The sequence below is a fragment of the Homo sapiens genome, chromosome 3 (genome assembly GCF_000001405.40).
Source record: "Homo sapiens chromosome 3, GRCh38.p14 Primary Assembly".
NCBI lineage: Eukaryota > Metazoa > Chordata > Mammalia > Primates > Hominidae > Homo > Homo sapiens.
Window position 1 is genome coordinate 58,659,483 of NC_000003.12, and position 23,742 is coordinate 58,683,224.

The 23,742-nt window shown below is 46.8% G+C and overlaps 1 protein-coding gene and 1 long non-coding RNA gene across 11 annotated transcripts in view; one reads left to right on the forward strand and one right to left on the reverse strand.

Moving 5' to 3' along the window:
• FAM3D (FAM3 metabolism regulating signaling molecule D) overlaps positions 1-7,292 on the reverse strand; it is a 32,829-nt gene extending 25,537 nt beyond the window's left edge. For 6 of the 10 annotated variants that reach the window (XM_006712967.4, XM_011533352.3, XM_005264863.5 and 3 more), the window contains exon 1: positions 7,094-7,292. The gene's annotated coding sequence lies outside the window, so the exon portion shown is untranslated. Of the gene's footprint in view, positions 1-7,055 lie in introns of all 10 variants that reach the window. The other 4 variants (XM_047447435.1, XM_047447433.1, XM_011533351.3 and 1 more) reach the window with 1 other exon arrangement.
• Positions 5,151-23,742, forward strand: part of LOC105377109 (uncharacterized) — a 41,452-nt gene continuing 22,860 nt past the window's right edge. The window contains exons 1-2 of the long non-coding RNA XR_940879.3: positions 5,151-5,451; positions 8,071-8,426. This is a non-coding gene — a long non-coding RNA (uncharacterized LOC105377109). The remainder of the gene's footprint in view (positions 5,452-8,070; positions 8,427-23,742) is intronic.

Consider the following 23,742-nt stretch of genomic DNA (forward strand, 5'->3'; position numbering starts at 1 on the left):
GAGCAGTGCACCCTGGTGGAGAAAGAAGTGACTATTTTCCCTGCTTAAATCCTGGCTCCTGGCCCGGCATTCTGTGAATCTCTCCGTGAAAGCACCTTGTCAGCCTTCACAGTCAGCCCTGATTTTCAGGCCAGCTTCCCCTCCAGGGAGTGGCTCTCAAAGGCTTTCTTCGTCCGCGGCCGGATGCTAGCACCGAGGCACACAGTAGGTGTGCAGTAAATGTTGTTGGAAGGAAGGAAGTGGGTTTCCGTTTGGGAAAGGAAACTGGGAGGTAAAAAGCTAGGAGCTGCTCCCTCCATCTAAATGACTTCTTTTTTTTTCACCTCATTACTAACATTTTTCTCCGAAGTAGAAGTCTGCCCAGAAGACATGCTCAGACTCTAGGACCTAACTAGTCTCTTCTGGAAATCCAAGTCCAGCTCTTTTCCTCATTATCCCGGGAAATTCTGCAGACAGAGTGTGGTCACCAGAGGCAGAGGGGTTCCATCAGTTCTTCCTCTTCAGGCTCCTTTCTGCTCCACTTGTCTCTACCAGCAATGCTGCTTGGGCAAGGCTTCATAGCAGGGGGTGAATTCTGTGTGCATGAGTGCGGGAGATGGAAACTCTACAGAGATAGTGACAGGGCTGAGGGAGACAGACTTCAAAAGAAAGAGACAAGACTGAGGTAGAGAGACAAAGAGAATGAAAAAGAAACAGAGACACTCAGAGACTGGAAGTGGCTGGCATATTAACAGACACACAGGCACACATGTAGGCATGCATGCACGTGAGTCAGGGCACTGCCATGGGTCCTGCCCTGAAGCAGGGGGTGTGCAACCCTGCCTAGACCCAGTTGCCCCTTGCTATGAGTCTCCCATCACCCCCAAAAGCCATCCTGAACACCCGCAATTGTGACCCAGGCCTGTGTGAAGGAATCAAAGTAACCAGAGGCCCCCTTTCATCCTCTAAATGGTCCTTCTTATAAACGCCCAATATTTATGGGCAATTATTGATCATGTCGCCAATACAGACGGGGAGATAAACAGCGAATAAATCCATAAACAATAAGACTAGTGGTTTGAACAATTTGTTCCAGTGACATTTATTTTGGAAGGAAAGAAGCCCATTATTCCCATTATGCCCTGTTTTAATTTTATTTATTGGTGTTAATGGTTTTCTCCAGCTCTGGCCAATGGTAGAATTATTGGGCCAGTCAGAGCTGCATGGCGGGAAATGCAAGAAGACACGAAAATGTGCAGGATTTTTAGGGTTTTTACTCCTCAAGTTCCTAGGGTACTTCCCAGAATAAGACAACAAACGCCACATGCCAGATACTACCCTGAGACTCTGACTTATTTTAACTTGTTTAATCTTACAACAGCTCAATGAAGAAGTAAGGGAAACTGAGGCACGGCGGTCAAGTCACATAGCTGGCAAGAGTCAAAGATAGAAAAGATCCCAGAAATAAACCCAGGCGATATGTGTCAGGAGACCACACATTCTTAACCACTTTGCCCAACTCAAGCACAAGTTGTAAAGGATCACATAGTAAATATTTTGGGCTTGGCAGGCCGTATGTTCTGTTACAACTACTCAACTCTGCCTTTGTAGGAGGAAAGCAGCCACAGACAATATATAAATGAATACATGTAACTGTGTTCCAATAAAACTTTATTTATAAAAACATGTGGCCGCTGCATTTGACCTGCGGGCTGTTGTTTGCCCACCTGTGCCCTGGGTGTGGCCTCTTTTAGCTCTAGGTAGACCCGAGCCTCGGGTGTTCCTTTTGCTGAGCTTCAGCCTGCCTGTCTTTGGCTCAGCCAAGGTGAGGGAGAAGGGAGCCTCCCATGGGATAAGAGTGAGTTTCTAAGATTCTGTTCTCCCACCCCCATGTCTCTCACCAGCCAGTACCCTCCTCGGGGGGTGGCTCCATGAGCTCTGCTTTCTTGGCAGGGGTCAGCCACCTCTCTCCTCTCCTCAGATAGGTTTTAGGGAGACTTTCCTCCCATTCACCTGACAGATCATCCTCTGAAGGTGCCACGCTCAGTACCTGGCACCCAGGTCACCCTCAGTAAGTGGCAGCTCCAGTCATATTTGCACCCTTCGACTTTGCAGAGGCCTCGTGTGGCCTGGGAATTGGGAGTCTGTATAACGTGGTGGCTAAGAGTGGGGGCTTTGGTGCCCATCTAGGTCCTGTCATGGGAGCGTGGACACAGTCCTCTCTCGGCCTCAGCTTCCTTTCACATGGCCATCACGATCTCTAATTTAGTGAAGATTAAAGGCAAGAATGCACCCAAAACCCAACACCTGGCACAGAGGAAGTGCTCTGCAAGTAACAGTTGTTAATCAAGCAGGCTTTCTTGCCCTCTCCCTTGGAGATGCTCCTCGCACCCTCCATCCCCCTTCTCAAGGAGGCAGAAATAGGCTGAAGAACAGGGTGTGCTCCACATGGAAAATGGGTTCCTCCAGGTCCCAGCAGAGCAGCTGGAGAGAGAGGAAGCCATCTGGACAGACATTCAGCCCCTTCCCTGCCCTCCAGTGTCTGAGGGGATGGGGGAAATCTCAGGATACTGGACATCTGCAGGTCCATTAGCCCCAGAGGCCAGTTTGTGCCCCAGAATTTCTCTTTGCTGAGAGCTGGGTGTGTTTTCCCCAGAGAGGACAAACTGGATCAGGGTGGGGCTGGGTGGAGTATCTGGGTTCACCCCCTGGCCCCTGCAGGCCTGCTGCTGGCCTATTGGAATCACTTCAGCAGGCCAAGCATGAAGCATGAAGAGATTCACCTCCCGCCCAGTGGGTAATTTATTCATTTCCGTCTGAGACAGCTGGGTCTTGACCTCTTTAATTAACCAACGTGGTGGCCTCCACAACAAAGTCGATGGTGGCTTGGGAAGCCATTAAGAGATAAGTCTTGCCTAGGAAGGCACGGGATCAGGAGATCTCACTGAAGAAGTAATAATCTTAATAACAATCACAATAATAATTCTAATAGGTATTATTAGTATTCTGCCAATATTAAGCCCTGTGTCTTTTCATTTAATTTTCCCAACAATCTTATTGGCAGATTCTTTTTCTTAACTGCATTTACCAGTGAGGAAAGAGCTTTAGAGAGAGTAAGTGGCTGGTCCAGAGTCACATAAGTAGAATGACTTATGTGGTATGCCATCTGTGACTTTGCTAACAGTAGTGTAATAAAGTAGGGGCAGTTGGAGTTGGGGTGGTGGACATCTGTTCCCCCTTCTTCTGCTGACCACCCTAATTTTCCTTTGGGAATCAACCCCTCCCTCCGAGGCAGTTGGTGGGGGTTACTCCCTTCTCTGGCTCCAGGGGTGACTCTGTGGTCCTGGCTTAGCAGATGAGTATGATCTATCTCTGGGTTGCAGAGATGGGGTCAGACACGGGCTGGTGGCCCAAGCCAAGAAGACCAGAGCCTTCCTAGCACTTTTTGTTTGTTTTTGAAATGGAATCTTGCTCTGTTGCCCAGGCTGGAGTGCAGTGGCGATCTCAGCTCACTGCAACCTCCGCCTCCCGAGTTCAAGCGATTCTCCTGCCTCAGCCTCCCCAGTAGCTGGGACTACAGGCATCCGCCCCCATGCCCAGCTAATTATTGTATTTTTAGTAGAGACAAGCTTTCAACATGTTGGCCAGGCTGGTCTCAAACTCCTGACCTCAAGTGATCCACCTGCCTTGGCCTCCTGAAGTGCTGGGATTACAGGCCTGGGCCACCATGCCTGGTCTCCTCCTACCACTTTTGAAGGACTTTCCAGGAGAGAGGAGCTGCCTTTCTGCTGGAGTGGCTAAGTTGAGATGACTCTGAACTGGAGATGTTATGTATATCTTTGCCACCACATGAACACAGGCTGTCTGAGCATAGAACAACATGGAGAAAAGGCTCCCAGAGATGGACACAGAGTGCCGGGGGTGTCATGTGAGCCCCCAGATCTGCCTTCTTGAAGTCAGAATTATCTCTGGACTTTTCTGTTGTGTATGTCAATACCTGTCCTTTACTTGTTGGGCTGGTTTGAGCTGGTTTCTGTCACTTGCACCCAGAAAAGTCCTACCTGATACATGATTTTCCCATTTCAAACTACAGTTACATCTGCAAGAAAGACTCGGATTACACTCCCACCCTACCCCTTCCCTCCTGAGGTTTGAACACTTCAGTCCTCATGGGACCTAAAGAATCGGGCCAACTCTTGGCTTTTTCTCTGTGTCTTCAGCAACAGCCTCCTTCCTGATGGCTTCCATACCAGAAGCCACACTGCTCCTGTCATTTTCACCAGAACATTCCTCCAACACAGAACCAGTTGTACCTGCAGAAAGGTCCAAGGCCTTGGTTTTGTGCCTGGCTCCCAGCCTCTCCCCGGCCCTGCTGGGTGACTCCCAGCTCCCAGCTCCCAGCTCCATGCCTCTGCTCACAGGGATTTCTCCACCAGGGCTGCCCTCACCTGTCCTCGCCAGAGGAATTCCATACTTTGTGGAATGTGGCCTCCTTTGTGAGGTCCCCCTTCTGCAGCCTGTGCAGGCCTAGATCATTCCCTCTGCGATGTGTGTGCATGTCGGAGGGAGAGGAGTGTGGTGGCCAACAGCATGGATCCTGGAGCTGGACTGCCTGGCCATAAAGCTTCTCTCTACCGTTCATAGCCTTGCCACCTTGGGCAGGTTACCTCACCTCCTTAGGCCTCAGTAGTTCACTGCAAAATGGGGATGATAAGACCTCCCATGCAAAGTTATTGTATTTAAACCAGCTAATCCATGTACAGTACTTGGCACCATTCTATAGACACAGTCAACCCTCCATATGCGTTGCCCAGTTTTGGGACTGCTGTTTGTACTGATTACGTAGAACTTGTTCACATCTCTTGTACAGTGCAGTCCCTGACTCCTTTTACTCTCAATCATTGATGTGACTAATTTATCTGATAGGCTGTGAACTTCCTGAGACAGTGTCTAATCATTTCTGAATGCCCAGTTCCATGCAGACTGCCTGGTGCATAGAAGGTGCACAGCTTGGACAACAGCACTGTCCTATATTGTGCACCTACTACGTGGCAAGCATCATGGTAGATGCTTTGCACACATTGTCTTTTTCAAAATGCACACTGTCAAATCCCAAAGAACTTATTACCGTCCTCATTCTTTTGAGATAAGGGAGGGTCAGACAAGCCAATAAGATAGGCAACTTGCCTAAGGTCACATGGTTGGAAAAAGGGCAGAACTGGGATTCAAATGCCAAAGGCAGGGTTGCTCTCCCCACAACCTCTATGTCTTTGTCTCCCCAGGCCACACCCTTGGGGGAGCAAACCTCTGAGCCTCCAGAAGCAAGGGATTGGCACCAACTGTAGGAAATGTCTGCTCCGCTCCAGGGCACCTGCCCTCTGGGACTGCAGGCTGGGTGGGGGCTGCCAGTCCCCCAGGCAGGCTTGTCGGCTGCCCACTTGAAGTCTCACCAGGACTGCCAGTAGTAGACAGGTAGGTCTCCTCCAAGGGGGAGCAGCTGCCCCAGCACCAGGAAATGTTGGCAAATGATGACTTCGAGCATCCCCCACCGCAGGGAAGTGCCAATGAGGAAGTTAGGCCCCTGGGTTCTGGAGGCTTCAACATTCCTATGGGAAGCAGCAGGGTCTGTGTGTAAAGATGGAGTTGAGCTCAGGAAGAGGTGTGCACACCATGGCCATAAGACAGAAGCCCCTAAACCTCCAGGTGCCCAAGGGCAGACAGGCAGATGCACAGATTTGGGCAGATGCTGAGCAATGGCAAACTCCTCCCTAGCCTGTGCAGACCTGGGCGCAACAACCTCACTGACTTCACCTTCCACCACCAGCTACTACCCCTTTCCTGCTTGAGCTGCTCTGCCCTCCTCTTTCTTTCCTCCTGTTCCCCCTTCTCAGAGATTCTCCACTGACCCAATCTTTTCCTCCCCTGCCCTTCACTCCTGAAGGACCCGGCATTCTCTTGGGAGAAGTCTGCCCTGACTCCCAGGCTATCTCCATGGTGTATGTCAAACTGTTTTGAAAATGACTATCTGTGCAAGTTTTCCCTTTCTGGTTAGAACCATGTATGATACCTCATCTTGTTAATCATTGTGTCTTTTTTACCTGACCCAATTAATGCTCACTGGATGAATCATCTAGAAGGACACTCTTGTACCCAGGCAGCCCACTTCCAGCCATGGACTCAGAATCCACTGCAGTGTAGAGTCAGTGTGGCATAGTGGGCAGGAGCAAAAGCTTTGCAGCCAGATTGCCTGGGGAAGTTATTAAATCTCTCACTGCCTTGGCTCTCCGTCTGCAGAGTGGGAATAATCATGGTGCTTTCCTTGTAGAGGTGATAGGAAGATTAAATGTGTTATTATATGGAGAGCACTTAGCACATCATACATGTTATTTTATGTACTTCAGTGATGATTATCATAGTTGCGTAGACAATGAGAACTTCAGCGATTGATGGGGGATATTCAGACTCTCTCTCCCATTTTACAGATGAGGAAACTGAGTCTTAGTGAAAGGGACTAGCTCAATATTACATAGCTAGAAAATCTCTCAAGTCCATGCACCTTTGTCATAACTTTTCAGATCATTACCTTATGAGAAAAATGAGATTTGGGGCCAAAGAACAACATTCCTTTCTTTTTTATTCATTTTTCAAATATTTGTGTGGCTCACTGTTGATCATTGGAATGTGTTTTTTTGAATCAATAGATGAGTGAATGAAAGAATAAATGTTGAGGGGCCCCTGTGGTTAAGGAAAAAACCCTGCAGTGTGGGTTATCAAATCCCTAGCTGGCATGCCCTACAGCTCCTTCTTGTGCCCATGGCAGACATAGCTAATCAATCATAGCATGCTTTTGCCTGAGCCCGAACCCAGCCCCAGAATCCTTTTTATCACAGTCTAATTTCATTGATCAGGCCTGGTGCCTCAGATGAAATCTATTTGCCTTCCTGAGTCTGATCTCAGGAATCTCTTCGATTATGTGGTTTCCTTCTTTCTTTCCTTTCATCATTCTGTCTCAGGCTCTTTCACTCCTATTTCCCACCCTCCCCACCTCCATTTTCCCCTCTGTCAATCATGTGTACCTGGAACCATAGCCCTTTCCATTCTTGGGGGGACGTACCCGAGGGCTCGAGGCTCCCACTTCCCTGCTTCGATGGAGAAGGCGAGGTGGTCCAGCAGGTGCCGTAGGTCCCTGACCCAGCTGACCACCACCCTGGGCCAGCTTCTGACAGTCCCACCTCCCAGTTGCTGGAGGGGTAGTGGCCTCACAGACGGCCCTCCTCTAGATGCAGTGGGCCCAGAGGGTGAGACGGAGTGTTGCGGGCCGCCAGTGGGCCAGCTGCTCCTGCCCTGCGCAGGCTCTGCCCCTCCTTTGAGGAAGTTTGCCATCAACTCTCCCTGCCCTGTTAAACAATCTCACAAGGAAGGAGGAAGTTTATTCTAAGTGCTCACGGGGCAGGAAATGAGTCTAAAGTCTTGCCTGGCTGAGGAGTGGCTTAGGGCCTGGCTGGGGCCTGGGGAGAAGGGCCATGCCTGTTCCCTTCCTGTAGAGCTATCCTGACCTTGGCAAGGGAGGTTTGGGTGGGAATTCAAGCAACTTAATCAGGAATGAGATACCACAATCTGCCTTCGAAAACAGCCAAAAAACCTTACAAAAAACCCGACCCTGTGCTAACAACCTCCCCAGGCGCTGGGAGGTGTGGGGCTGGTAGAGCGAGTAACTGCAGCTGATGATCACCTGCTTTGAGGTTCTGGACTAGAGTGTGGGGGGGTGCTGGAGGGGCTGACTGGAAAGAGGGGAACCCAGGCAAGAAACTCAGGACAGGAAAGATGGAGGAGGTCAAAGGCAACTGCAAGATATTGAGCTTGGATGATGGAAAAGGGAGGCTTCTTGGTCAAGAGTGAGGAAGATGGGGGAGAGGAAGTGGTTTGGGAAAAGATTCTGGATTTGGGTGGGGCATATTGAATTAGAGGTTAAAGGTGGAGGGGGTGGGGTGTGGAGAAAGGGAAAGACGGAGAAAGAAAAGAAGGGCTGCTCAGTGGCAGACTTTTAGTGAAATGGTGAATGCAGCCTTTGTCTCCCTTCTCTCTCCTTAGGACCCAAGGTGCACTGAGAGGGGCTCAGCTTCCCCCTCCCCTGATCCAGCACTCCCAGTCTTTGTCACAAATCATGGTCTCTTTCCCAAGCGCTTTCCTCTTAGGAGGAGTTCTTGCCTCGGTCCTTGGCACACAGGCTCCTGGCAACTTCCTCCCTTGTTTGCTGACTCTGAATGCTTCCGTAGGCTGTGTGGCCCACTTGGAAGGAATATTCAGGGGCATGAGGTCCAGCAGCTGGTCAGGAAATGAAGATGCATGCCCAGGGAGCTGGTGCAAGGGAAGAGCAGGGAGCGGACCCTGTGTGATGAGGTGCCGGGAGTGGCCCCAGTTCTGCTGTTCCAGCTGCCCATCCCCAGGTAGGCACGTGGGCCCCCTCAGGATGTATCCCAGGGCGAGGCAGTGCTTTCCTTCACTCTGACTGGCTTTAGGACTGGTCCTGTCCTCTGTCCCATCTCCTTGCCTCTTGCTCTCCCTTATTCTGCTAGGACGGTTCTGCCCATAACTGGTGCCTGGGTCTTGTTCAGACCTGACCTGCAGTGTCACTTCCTCAGGGGGGCCCTCCTGACCCTCACTTCCAATATAAATAAGCACACAAGTGTAGGGGAGTAAAAATGGCTTTCTCTACCCTTCTAGCTGCCTTGGCTGGTCAGGAATTAAACTGACAGCAGGGAGAATAACAGGAGAAAAGGTACAGACATTTATCACATGCATGGGGGCATCCCAGGAAAGAAAAGGAATTCCCCACACCCAGTAAGATTTAGAAGCTTGTATACCCTCTTCACAAGGGAGAGAGGGGTGGGGTGTCAGCACCGTAGTGGAGAGTAAATGATTTCTGGGGAAGAGGAGTGGGCCCTCAGCAGGACAGGTGACGACAGCCTGTGACAAAGGCTATCTGGACGTAGTGTGGACCTTTAGACTCCTGTGAAACGAGCCAGTCCTTCCGGCTGATGAGATTCCCTGGGCGGAGATTCATGGCCACTGCGTTTGCTCTGGACAATCTGTCTTTAGACAGAAAAGGAAAACTCGGAAAGCCCCTCCCTGCAGTTGCTGTTCCCCAAGTGACCTCAGTTCAAAGTCTCAAAGTGGCATATTTTGGGGAGTTACTTCGGAACTCCTTCACAAGCAAATCATTTAAAATTGAGACATTCTGTGAAAGAACCCATGAAAGTGATTCCAGGAGAACTTTCCTCAGCAGGTGGTCAGGGAAGGCCTCTCTGAGGAGGGGTGCTTTGAGGAGCTGCAGTAACAAACAAACACAGACCAGCAGCTTCATAACACAGCTGTGAAGCTAACCACTCTGGAGGGCAGGAGCTTGATATGGGTCTCACTGGGTTGGAATCACGGTGCTGGCAGGCTTGCATTCCTTTCTGGAGACTCCAGAAGAAACATTTTTTGTCTTTTCTAGTGCCTAGAAGCCACCTGCATTTCTTGGCTCATGGCCCCTTCCTCCATCTTCAAAGCCAGCAATGTTGGGTCTCCATGACAATTCTTCCTTCCTTACATCTCCCTCTAACTCTTTTATGCTTTCATCTTCCACTTTTAAGGACCCGGTGACAACACTGGGCCCACTTGGATAATCCAGGTTACTCTCCCTATCCTAAGGTCAGCTGATCGGCAACTCTAATTCCATTTGAGACCTTAATTCCCCTTTGCTCAGTTATGTTATATATTCGCATGCTCTGGGGATCAGGATGCAGACCTAATCCCATTAGGGGGCCAAGAGTCTGCTAATCACAGGTGCAATTTTGTTTCCTTTTCGTTATCGAACTTAACAGCCTGAAATGATATTTCCTGACTATTGTTTACTTGTCACCTGTCTCACTCTTCTGGAAAGCGAATCCCAAGAGGGCAGGGATCTTGCAGGTGCTGCTCATTCACCCCTGTAATCCCAGCACTTTGGGAGGCTGAGGCGGGCGGATCATGAGGTCAGGAGATTGAGACCATCCTGGCTAATACAGTGAAACCCCATCTCTACTAAAAATACAAAAAATTAGCCGGGCTTGGTGGTGGGCACCTGTAGTCCCAGCTACTCGGGAGGCTGAGGCAGGAGAATGGCATGAACCCTGCAGGTGGAACTTGCAGTGAGCTGAGATTGCGCCACTGCACTCCAGCCTGGGCGACAGAGCGAGACTCCGTCTCAAACAACAACAACAACAACAACAACAACAACAACAACAACAACAACAACAACAACAAAAACAGTGCCTGGAACTCAGCAGGTGCTCAACAAAGACTTACTGAATCAATGGACAGGTGATTGAGCTTGAGCTCATTTCTGCATCAGAGTCAACACAGACAGTACTGGTCTGAGTGCCGGGAGCTGTGACCCCCACCGCACCCTGTGAAGTTGTGTGACCTGGAGCCTTCCTTTCCCCTCTCTGAGTCTCAGGCATTCTCACCCCAGCCCTAGGAGGAAGGGAAGGCACAGGGCAGCCACCCTGACGTCTTCAGATCTTGAAGGAGTTAATTGCTGTCATGAAGTCATCGCTTATTTCCTCCCAATAGCAAAAGCCCTGCTGAGGCAGCAGTAGCCTGAGCAGGTATCCGAGGATCACTCTCCCCAGAGTACACTCAGGGAGCAATCAGTGGGGTCTGGCATTGGTGCTGGTTCCTGGGCATGCCACCCCCTGCCCCACCACCCCCTGCTCTACTCACCAGCCCATGGCAGGTGGAGAACATGGGCCCTGGGTGAGACAGGCCTGCTTGTATGTCCTAACTCTGTTTGTGACCAGTGGGGTCACCTTGATGAGTAATTTCCCCTTCCCAAGCCTTCATTTTCTCTTCTATTAAGTAGGATAATCCGTTTATTACAGGGTGGTCAAGAGAATAAAGTAAGAGAGTACATTGGAAGGGCCTGGCCCATAGTAGATGCTCAGTAAATGCTGCCTGTTATCATCATTACTTCTTACTGGTGTAATATCACCTGTGAATCAGAATTTCCTGGTGAAAGAGACCAGAATGCCTTCTCTTCTGTCTCAGAGGGCAACACTGACAGAGTGGGTATCAGTGTCAAGTCTAGATACACGGCTTGGCAGGAGGTCTTGAAAGTACAATAATTGGTAATTCATCCTTTCCCTGGGGTGTTGGTGCCAAAGGCAGCCGTGGTGGCAGGGAGGAGGTGGGAAGCACCAACAGCCCTTTCATTGCCAATGAACTTGGACTCTGCCTCTGCTGCCAGCCAAGCTGTATATATACTTAGGGAAGTTATTGTAACACAAAAGTGTTGCAGGGAACTGACAACTCTCTGGCCCAGTGGTGCGGGGGTAAAATAGTTTACCAAGACAGTTGTAGGTAAAGAAAGGCAGGTTTATTGGAGAAAGTAGAAAAATACATTGCAAGGAGGGCAGCCTGCATGACAGAAGCCGACTGCAAAGAAACAAAGGCCGGCTGGAGATTTTATAGGACGGTGCAGATGCTGTGTGCTGAAGAGGGCTGTGCGCAGCACCACGACACCAAGCTTGCAGTGAGCTCACCTGCAGATGTCTGGTGACAGCTGGGCGCAGGAAGATGGTGACTTATTTGTGCAGGAGGGCTGTGTCCTGGACCATGAAGAAAGGCAGACTTGTAGCTCATCTGCTTTCTCCTTTTGCTTTCCCCTGGTCCCAACAGCCTGACTCCCTTTCCCTAATTAGGACTCCACAGAAAGCTTATTTCTCTTATTTAGTTATAAAAATAATACAGTCCCATCATGAAAACTTTGGAAGAAAACAAAAGTGTAAAGGAAACAAATCAGGCAAGTACAGTCTCCCTTGGGGCTGGCTGTTAGTGCCTTGGGCTATTTCCTTTCCCCGGTTGTGTTGTGTGGCTCTTCCCAAACATCCAGCTCGGTATCCTCCTCTCTTCACTTGTTGTTACAGTTGGGGCATCTCCCTGGGTCGTTAAAAACTTGTAAATGTGATTTCTTAATGACTGCAGATGATCACATGTCGCAAAGCACCATCTTCACCTCCCCTCCTCAACTCCTGGGCGCTTAGTTTCTGGGTGTGTGTGTATTAAAAGTACACCACAATGAATCTTTACAGGCATATCTTGTGACTTTGTGCACCTGTTTCCTTCTTTCTAAAAATGGCCCCTAAATCTATAAAAATTTTAAAATGGGACCAATAATTCCAGTCTTCCCACTCCACAAGGTTTTATGAGGCTTAAAGGAGGAAACAGATATCAAGGTGCTTTGAAAACCATGGAGAAAAGAGCCACCCAAATGCAAGGCCAGATTTTGAGCACTACCTGTTTAAGATAGGAGTGTGTGTGTGTGTGTGTGTGTGTGTGTGTGTGTGTGTGTGTGTTCCTCAACAGTTGGGAGATAGATGAGGGTGGAACTAGGAATAACAGCCACCACAGCATTCAACATTTATAGAGCACCTGCTGGGCACTCTATTAAACAAGACACATTCATGATCTGAATTCGTTCTAACTACCACATCGAGGGGGAGTACTATTATTACCTAGAACCTACAAATGGGGAAACTGAGGCCCAGAGCAGTTAAGCAATTTGCTCGTGGAGACCCAGCTTTCAAGTGGGAAGTTGAGGAGGGACACACATACACCCTTTCCCTGACAGCTGCAGGCATCAGCGATGAGGGCCCCAGAGCACTGCAATAGTGGATTCCCTGGGGCTTCAGAGCACCCAAGACCCCCAGCATTTCCTGAAATGATGTACTGTTCTTTACTGAGCACAGTCTGGTGTTCCTGGCAGGCAGACAAACTAATCTGAAGATTATTTCCCCAGAGCTGGGGTATGAGAATGCTTCATTCAAAGGGAAAAGCCCAGAGGAGAAAAACCCACCCCCGGCACGTCTGAGACAAAATGGCAGAGCGGACTCACTGTATGTGTATGTGAGTGTGTGTGCCTGAGGGTGTGTACCAAGTGTGGGTACCCTGAGACAGGTGTGTGTGCATGTGTATGCGTGTGAATGCACAGGAGTACACAGATGTGAGTGGCTGTATAGGCTGTATTTGACCTTCTGGGTGCCCAAAGACAGAAGAGTTGGCTCACCGATGGGATAAATGACCGTTGCATCGATTTTTCTAGTTCTAATCTTTGAGAAGAAACTAGACCAGGCAGTAATTTATTTACATTCCCTTCAGCATTTTTCACAGCAGCCACAAGCCTTGATAACAAAAGGAAGCCAGGTGCGCTCTGAAGCCAAGGGAGAAAGTCACAGAGCATGACTGCGCCAAGTGCTTCAGCAAGAAACTACCAACAATTTAGTTTCCCTCACCTCGGTAATTGACCACATCCAATGTGGCCACGTGTGCCTCATGGCCTGATTGGCTTTGTAATAAAGTCAGTGCCTTGGTGTAAGAGACGAAGTTGAGGATAGCATACTGAGTTACAAATTTCCCTTGCAACCATTAATAATTCATTCTTCCATTCATTTCTTTAATGCTACTGCCGTTCCTTTGAACAACAGCAATAACAAGCCATGAAATAGAAGCCTTTCCATCGGTGCTGAGGACTGGAGTGGGCGGTGGGCACAGGTGCTCCTGCACTCAGAGGCCTTGCTCACTGGTCACCAGCCACTCTGTCCACAGTCTGTCTCCAACTGTGGGTGGGCAGAGGTGTAGGGTGGCTGAGTCAGGTCCCAGTCTGATGGGTCTCACTGAGCTAAAACCAAGGTGTCACAGGGCTACATTCCTTTCTGGGGGCTCCTGGGAAAGCTCATTTCCTTGCTTCTTCTAGTATCTAGAGGCCACCCACTCTCCTTGGCTCATGGCTCCTTCCCCATCTTCGAAGCCAGTGAGGTTGCATCTTTATGGCCCTTCTTCCATTGTACCATCTCCCTGACGCTCATCCTTTTGCCTCCCTCCCTCTTTCACCTTATTTTTATTTTTAGAGATGGGGTCTTGCTATGTTGCCCAGGTTGGTCTTGAACTCTTGAACTCAAGCAATCCTCCTGCCTCAGCCTCCTGAGTACCTAGGACTACTGGTGTGAACCTTATGCCTGGCTCTTCTTTCACTTTAAAGGAGCTTTGTGACTACATTGGGGCCCCCAATAATCCAGGACATTCTCCCAATTTTTTTTTTTAAATCATACTTTAAGTTCTGGGATACATGTGCAGAATGTGCAGATTTGTTACATAGGTATACATGTGCCATGGTGGTTTGCTGCACTCATCAACCCATCATCTACATTAGGTATTTGTCCTAATGCTATCCCTCCCCTAGCCCCTCATCCCCCGACAGGGCCCGGTGTGTGTTGTTTCCCTCCCTGTGTCCGTGTGTTCTCATTGTTCAACTCCCACTTATGAATGAGAACATGCGGTGTTTGGTTTTCTGTTCCTGTGTTAGTTTGCTGAGAATGATCGTTTCCAGCTTCATCCATGTCCCTGTAAAGGACATGAACTCATCTCTTTTTATGGCTGTGTAGTATATGTGCCACATTTTCTTTATCCAGTCTATCATTGATGGGCATTTGGGTTGGTTCCAAGTCTTTGCTATTGTGAATAGTGCTGCAATAAACATACGTGTGCATGTGTCTTTATAGTAGAATAATTTGTAATCCTTTGGGTTATACCCAGTGATGGGATTGCTGGGTCAAATGGTATTTCTGGTTCTAGATCCTTGAGGAATCGCCACACTGTCCTCCACAATAGTTGAACTAATTTACACTCCTACCAACAGTGTAAAAGCATTCCTGTTTCTCCACATCCTCTCCAGCATCTATTGTTGCCTGACTTTTTAGTGATCGCCATTCTAACTGGCATGAGATGGTATCTCATTGTGGTTTTGATTTGCATTTCTCTAATGACCAGTGATGATGAGCTTTGTATTCTGTCTGTTGGACACATAAATGTCTTCTTTTGAGAAGTGTCTGTTTATATCCTTTGCCCACTTTTTGATGGGGTTATTTTTTTCTTGTAAATTTGTTTAAGTTCCTTGTTGATTCTGGATGTTAGCCCTTTGTCAGATGGATAGATTGTAAAAATTTTCTCCCATTCTGTAGGTTGCCTGTTCACTCTGATGATAGTTTCTTTTGCTGTGCAGAAGCTCTTTAGTTTAATTAGATCCCATTTGTCAATTTTGCTATTGTTGCAATTGCTTTTGGTGTTTTAGTCATGAAGTCTTTACCTATGCCTATGTCCTGAATGGTATCATCTAGGGTTTTTATGGTTTTAGGTCTTATGTTTAAGTCTTTAATCCATCTTGAGTTAATTTTTGTATAAGATGTAAGGAAGGGGTCCAGTTTCAGTTTTCTGCATATGGCTATCCAGTTTTCCCAACACCATTTATTAAATAGGGAATCCTTTCCCCATTGCTTGTTTTTGTAAGGTTTGTCAAAGGTCAGATGGTTGTAGACGTGTGGCATTATTTCTGAGGCCTCTGTTCTGTTCCATTGGTCTATATATCTGTTTTGGTACCAGTACCATGCTGTTTTGGTTACTGTACCCTTGTAGCATAAATTGAAGTCAGGTAGCGTGATGCCTCTAGACTTTGTTCTTTTTGCTTAGGATTGTCTTGGCTATACAGGCTCTTTTTTGGTTCCATATGAAATTTAAAGTAGTTTTTTCTAATTCTGTGAAGAAAGTCAATGGTAGCTTGATGGGGATAGTATTGAATCTATAAATTACTTTGGACAGTATGGCCATTTGCATGATATTGATTCTTTCTATTCATGAGCATGGAATGTTTTTCCATTTGCTTGTGTCCTCTATTATTTTCTTGAGTAGTGGTTTGTAGTTCTCCTTGAAGAGGTCCTTCACCTCCTCAATTTCAGAACTTGCTATTGCTCTATTCAGGGATTTGACTTCTTCCTGGTTTAGTGTTGGGAGGGTGTATGTGTCCAGGAATTTATTCATTTCTTCTAGATTTTCTAGTTTATTTGCATAGAGGTGTTTATAGTATTCTCTGATGGTAGTTTGTATTTTTGTGGGATCAGTTGTGATACCCCCTTTATCATTTTTTATTGTGTCTATCTGATCCTTCTCTCTTTTCTTCTTTATTAGTCTGGCTAGCAGTCTATCTATTTTGTTAATCTTTAAAAAAAAAAACCAGCTCCAGGATTCATTGATTTTTTGAAGGTTTTTTTGTGTCTCTATCCCCTTCAGTTCTGCTCTGATCTTAGTTATTTCTTATCTTCTGCTAGCTTTTGAATTTGTTTGCCCTTGCTTCTCTAGTTCTTTTAATTGTGATGTTAGGGTGTCGATTTTAGATCTTTCCAACTTTCTCCTTTGGGCATTTAGGCTATAAATTTCCCCCTAAACACTGCTTTAGCTGTGTCCCAGAGATTCTGGTATATTCTGCCTTTGTTCTCATTGGTTTCAAATAACTTACTCATTTCTGCCTTAATTTCGTTATTTACCCAGTAGTCATTCAGGAGCAGGTTGTTCAGTTTCCATGTAGTTGTGGGGTTTTTAGTGAGTTTCTTAATCCTGAGTTCTAATTTGATTGCACTGTGGTCTGAGAGACTGTTTGTTATGATTTCTCTTCTTTTGCATTTGCTGAGGAGTGTTTTACTTCCAATTATGTGGTCAATTTTAGAATAAGTGCAATGCGGTGCCGAGAAGAATGTATATTCTGTTGATTTCGGATGGAAAGTTCTGTAGATGTCTATTAGGTCTGCTTTGTCCAAAGCTGAGTTCAAGTCCTGAATATCCTTGTTAATTTTCTGTGTTATTGATCTGTCTAATATTGACAGTGGGGTGTTAAAGTCTCCCACTATTATTGTGTGGGAGTCTAAGTCTCTTTGTAGGTCTCTAAGAACCTGCTTTATGAATCTGGTTGCTCCTGTATTGGGTGTATATATATTTGGGATAGTTAGCTCTTTTTATTGCGTTGATCCCTTTACCATTATGTAATGCCCTTCTTTGTCTTTTTTGATCTTTGTGGTTTAAAGTCTGTTTTATCAGAGACTAAGATTGCAACGCCTAATTTTTTTTTCTTTCCATTTGCTTGGTAAATCTTCCTCCACCCTTTAATTTTGAGCCTGTGTGTCTTTGCATGTGAGATGGGTCTCCTAAATACAGCACACTGATGGGTCTTGACTCTTTATCCCATTTGCTAGTCTGTGTCTTTTAATTGGGGCATTTAGCCCTTATTATTTAAGGTTAATATTGTTATGTGTGAATTTGATCCTGTCGTTATGATGCTAGCTGGTTATTTTGCCTGTTGGTTTATGCAGCTACTTCATAGTGTCGATGGTCTTTACAATTTGGTATGTTTTTGCAGTGGCTGGTACCAGTTTTTTTTTTTTTTTTCCATATTTAGTGCTTCTTTCAGGAGCTCTTGTAAAACAGGCCTGGTGGTGACAAAATCTCTCAGCAGTTGCTTGTCTGTAAAGGATTTTATTTCTCCTTTGCTTATGAAGCTTAGTTTGGCTGGATATGAAATTCTGGGTTGAAAATTCTTTTCTTTAAAAATGTTGAATATTGGCCCCCACTCTCTTCTGGCTTTTAGGGTTTCTGCAGAGAGATCCACTGTTAGTCTGATGGGCTTCCCTTTGTGTGTAACCCGACCTTTATCTCTGGCTGCCCTTATAATTTTTTCTTTCATTTCAACCTTGGTGAATCTGATGATTATGTGTCTTGGGGTTGCTCTTCTCGAGGAGTATCTTTGTGGTGTTCTCTGTGTTTCCTGAATTTGAATGTTGACCTGTCTTGCTAGGTTGGGGAAGTTCTCCTGGATAATATCCTGAAGAGTGTTTTCCAACTTGGTTCCATTCTCCCTGTCACTTTCAGGTACACCAATCAATCAGGTTTGTTTTCTTCACATAGTCCCATATTTTTTGAAGGCTTTATTCGTTCGTTTTCATTCTTTTTTCTTTAATCTTGTCTTCACGTTTTATTTCATTAAGATGATTTTCAATCTCTGATATCCTTTCTTCTGCTTGATCGATTCAGCTATTGATACTTGCATATGCTGACGAAGTTCTCATGCTGTGTTTTTCAGCTCCATCAGGTCATTATGTTCTTCTCTAAACTGGTTATTCTAGTTAGCCATTCCTCTAACCTTTTTTCAAGGTTCTTAGCTTCCTTGCATTGGGTTAGAACATGCTCCTTTAGCTCGGAGTAGTTTGTTATTACCCACCTTCTCAAGCCTACTTCTGTCAATTTGTCAAACTCCTTCTCCCTCCAGTTTTGATTCCTTGCTGGAGAGGAGCTGTGATCCTTTGGAGGAGAAGAGGCATTCTGGTTTTTGGAATTTTCAGCCTTTTGCACTGGTTTTTCTTCATCTTCATGAATTTATCTACCTTTGGTCTTCAATGTTCGTGACCTTTGGATGGGGTTTTTGTGTGGACGTCCTTTTTGTTGATGTTGATGCTATTCCTTTCTGTTTGTTAGTTTTCCTTTTAACAGTCCGGCCCTTCTGCTACATGTCTGCAGAAGTTTGCTGGAGGTCCACTCCAGACCCTGTTTGCCTGGGTATCACCAGTGGAGGCTGCAGAACAGTAAAGATTGCTGCCTGTTCCTTCCTCTGGAAGCTGTGTCTCAGAGGGGCACCTGCCAAATGCCAGCGGGAGCCCTCCTGTATGAGGTGTCTGTTGACCCCTGCTGGGAGGTTTCTCCCAGTCAGGAGGCACAGGGGTCAGGGGCCCACTTGAGGAGGCAGTCTGTCCCTTAGCAGAGCTCGAGCACTGTGCTGGGAGATCCGCTGCTCTCTTCAGAGCTGGCAGGCAGGAACGTTTAAGTCTGCTGAAGCTGTGCCCACAGCCACCCCTTCCCCCAGGTGCTCTGTCCCAGGGAGATGGGAGTTTTATCTATAAGCCCCTGACTGGGGCTGCTGCCTTTCTTTCAGAGATGCCATGCCTGGAGAGGAGGAATCTAGACAGGAAGTCTGGCTACAGCAGCTTTGCTGAGCTGCGGTGGGCTCCGTCCAGTTTGAACTTCCCCTTTGTTTACACTGTGAGGGGAAAACTGCCTACTCAAGTCTCAATAATGGCAGATGCCCTTCCCCCCACCAAGCTCGAGCATCCCAGGTCGACTTCAGACTGCTGTGCTGGCAGCGAGAATTTCAAACCAGTGGATCTTAGCTTGCTGGCCTCCATGGGGGTAGGATCCACTGAGTAGACCACTTGGCTCCCTGGCTTCATCCCCCTTTCCAGGGGAGTGAATGGTTATGTCTCACTGGCATTCTGGGCACCACTGGGGTATGGATAAAAAAACTGCATCTAGCTCAGTGTCTGCCCAAATGGCCGCCCAGTTTTTTGCTTGAAACCCAGGGCCCTGGTGGCATGGGCATCCAAGGGAATCTCCTGGTTTGCAGGTTTTGAAGACCATGGGAAAAGCGTAGTATCTGGGCCGGAATGCACTGTTCCTCACGGCACGGTCCCTCACGGCTTCCCCTTGGCTAGGGGAGGGAGTTCCCTGATCCCTTGTGCTTCCCGGGTGAGGTGACACCCTACCCTGCTTCAGCTCACCCTCTGTGGGCTGCATCCACTGTGTAACCAGTCCTAATGAGATAAGCCGGGTACCTCAGTTGGAAATGCAGAAATCACCCGCCTTCTGTGTTGATCTTGCTGGGAGCTGCAGACTGGAGCTGTTCCTACTCAGCCGTCTTGCCCAGGTTCCCCCCATTCTCCCAATTTTAAGGTGAGCTGATCAGCAACCTTAATTTTACCTGCAATCTTAATTCTCCTTTGCCATGTAACCTATTCATAATATTTGAAGTGGGAAAATCACTTCAAATGTTTTAAGAATTATGAAAATAATACTTGTTTATGGTAAAATATTCAGAACAGTGCAGAGCTATATGAAATATCTATTTAAATGCTCATCTTTACTCACTCTTGAAGATGAACCACTATTCATAATTTCTAAGTATTTTTCTAGAATTTTCTATGCATTCACAAGCATATATATGTCCTTCTCTCTGGTTCTTTGTCTTTCCCTTTCTGTTTTTCTCTGTTTCTCTCTCCCTTTTTCCTTGCTAGCCAAGCAGCCATACATCAGCTGGCATGAATTTTACTCTCTGCCATGGGTATAAGAAATATCATATTTCTTTATATTTCTAAATCAGGTTAAATTTCACTCCAACCCTCCACTTGTCAGCGTGGTGAGAACTTCAGTATCTACCATAATTTAACTTCAGTGCCAACCATAAATTCCGGAGTTTCTCTCATCCTTCTTAAGGCTGCCAAAAAATGGGGGTGTGGGGGCTTAGTGATGTTATGGAAATAGGATCGGATGTCTCCTTTTCTTTCCACATAGTCACGCATTTTAAAATAGTATCCTGGGAATGGTTCTGATGAAAACAATGTAAATAAACAAACCCACATAGAGACGAAAGACTGCAAGAGATGCAGCAAACTGCCAAATGGCTGTTTCCTGGAGGAGGTGTTTTGGCGATTTTAACTTTCTCCTTGATACTACTCTCTCTGTTCTACAGGTAACAGATGTAACTTTGGAATCATCATAATAAAGTTCAGGATAAGTACTCTATGTGGCTTCTCCACCTGCCTTTCCTTTCGGCTGAGTGTTTGCCCAACTTCCCAGGGGCAAACCCTCCTCGGGCATGGGCACAGGTTTAACAACGCTGGGAAATCCTCAGGATGTGAACCAGAGGCAGCTCCTACTGTGTCATCACTGCCTTCCTAGGTTTAAGGAAGTGTCTGGGTGGGGCAGGGATTTAGAGATCCTGGAAGGAAGCCTTTATGGACACCTCATAGCTTTTTTTATTGGGGTTTACAGCTGTTGTCCTTTTATTCAAAGAGGGAGTACTCACCCTCCCTGGCTTCCAGGCAGCTGGGCTGGCTGGAATTTGCCCTCTTGTCCTGGCTTCTCCAGTGACTTAGGGGAGGCAGAGGCCCCACTGAGGTAGGTGACCTGGAATTTCCCTCCTAGGAGCCAGGCTCTGAGTGGGTGGGCCAGCCAGGCATGTGGGCTGGTGGGTCTTCTCCCAGGGGCAGCCTGAGGGTGGGAGCAGCTCAGAGAACGCAGACATTGAGCACATCTGGGGACCAAAAGGACCCCTGGGAATTTCCTTTTGCAGGTTGTGCACAGGCAGCTTTGGAGTGGGGCAGGGAAGGCCGCTGCTCTGGTATAACCAAGCCTTATGGCATTCCTCGGTCCAGCTGTTCATCGACAAATGCTTAATGAATACCTTCTCTGGGCCAGAAAGCAGGCTGGGGTCTGTGGATATGAGGAAAAGCAAGAGGAGACCCACTTCCTGGTACAATCTGGGGTGGACACCATCAGAGGGATGCTGCCATTTGTTTCCTTTTGCCTGTCTTGCTTTTTTTTTTGGCTTTGTCTCCCATGCCTAAAATATAGTAGGAGCTCAATAAAAATGTGTGAAAAGAATGAAAAATGTGTTTCCTGCTAGTTGGAGTAATCAGTCCATCCCTAAAGAAATCTGAAAATCAAATGAAATGAAAGGATTTTATTTCTGATTCTCATAGATCATCGTCATCATTATCATCTCATCTTCATTGTCATCTCCATCATGATCATAGCTATGGGTGAGGCTCTTTTTTTCTTCATGCTTCCCTGTCATGCTCACATTTCATCATCACTAAGATGCCTGGGAGGAAGCCGGCCTCACCCATCACTTTAGCATGCATGTGGTCTGGTTGCCTGTGTTCAAATCCCGGCTCCTACACTGAGCAGCAGTGTGAGCTTGCTTGGGCAAGTCATTTTGTTTTTCTGAGCCCCGATGTCCTCTGTAAAATGAGGCTGTTAAGAGAGATGCCCCATCGGGTTGTTGTGAGGATGAAATGAGAAGATGCAGATCCAGTGTGCAGCAGGAAGCCTGGCTCAGCAGGGACTGCTTCCGCCCTTTTAGCCGCTGTCTTTCCCTGTGCTCTCCTTGACTTCACTGCCCTCCTCCTTTGCAAGAGGTCCTGACGCTGAGGGAGGGCTTGCTGCCTCAGGGGTGGGGCCCACATCTCTAGGGCTGTGGAGGGTGCTGGAACCAGGACTCAGACATGGAGCAGCAAAGGGAACACTGTGACTGATACTGTTCTCCAAATGCCTCCTTCCTCATTCAAATCCAAGGAGGCCCAGCGTGGGGCTGGGTGACCAGACCAGGGACAGGGTGATGTCGAGGACCAGTGTCTCACCACATCCTCCTAACATCATTGAGAGCAGAACCCAGGTCAGAAATCACCCCATTCAGACCCTTTCAGTGTGAGCGAGAAACCATGCCCCTCCACTCCTGCAGGACTTTGTGGGTACCCTGAGGCTTGCTCTTGACTCACTGATTGTCCTCTACCTGTCTCCACCAGTGCTGGGCTGATAAATGTTTGTCAATTAACTCTCCAGAGAAAAAAATGTATACTTGTCTGTACATACATAAATGGGTTATGTTTTACTGGTATTGAGGTTGTGTAGCAAACACATACCTTGAAATTTAAATAATAATAAGATATATAATACCCACTGTAAATTCCACACAGCCAATTGGCCTACAGCATACTTTCACTCATTTTTGCCAGCTTCTTGAATTAGCCAACCTGTAGTTGCAATTTAACCATGATTTGACAAAAGTAGACTGTGAATATATGGTTGCTTAGTTTCCCATTTAGCGAAGAGGTCTCTCAGGTCATCAAATGAATGAGTGTAGTTTTGTCATGAACATTGGTTGATGTTTTCATTTATATTAATGAATAAGATGAAAGTGAAACAATGAAGACACAGTCAATACTCCACTCAATCACAGTGACATGAATGACTTCTTTGCTGAATCAGATAACAGTTTTTGAATACTGGAAGAACATTTCCTTTTTTTTCCATTCACAACGTAATGGCCACAGACAGCCCATACCTTAATGTTTAATCTGCATTATTAACATTTTCTCTATCCTTTCTTAAGCCTAGGGTTTAGACAATCAACAGAACAAAAAATCAAGCTCCAATTTATAGTGTTTGTCAATTTCCATGATGTAAATGCACACGCTATGACTAATTTCAAGCTACCACTGTGAAATCACTAATGTGTAGCTGGAAAGATATGCACAGTAGCACACCACTATGTGATATTTCTACCATGCAGATACACTATATGTAAATAACTTCAAGAGCATAGATAATAGTAAGAGGTAGAAAAATCATTGGGAACTGACGGGTTTTGAGTGTTTGGTTTTTTTTTTTTTGAGACCAGGTCTGATTCTGTCACCCAGGCTGGAGTGCAGTGGTACATTCACAGCTTGACTTCTCAGGCTCAAGTGATCCTCCCACCTCAGCTCCCTGAGTAGCTGGAACCACGGGCATGCACCACCACACCCAGAAAAAATTTTAAAATTTTTTTTAGAGGTGGGCTCTCCATATGTTGCTCAGGCTGGTCTCGAACTCCTGAGCTCAAGCAATCCTCCCACCTTGGCCTCCCAAAGTGCTGGGATTACAAGTATGAGCCACTGTACCTGGCCAACGTTTGTTTTTAATATAATGTGTTTACTTGTAAGTTAAAATAATTTAACTTTTAATAATGACTGTTTAGCTACTGGATCACAAGATTCCCAAAAATTTAACAATTGGCTCTGGCAAGCTGGTATGAACTGGCTCCAGCATACCACCGAGGCTCTCCGCAATCTGACTGATTCCTCCAGCTGGGCAGGTCTTTATCCTTCTCTGGTCACATGCTTAGCGCAGTGTCTGCCACTCTGGCAGCCTTCCATAAATATGTGCTAACGAAGGAATGACTTGCATTATCTGTGTGCCATCTGTCCTTGTCTGTAAGCTCCTTGAAAGAAGGACCAGGTTACAGTCATCTTTGAATTCTCAGGACACCCAGGGCTT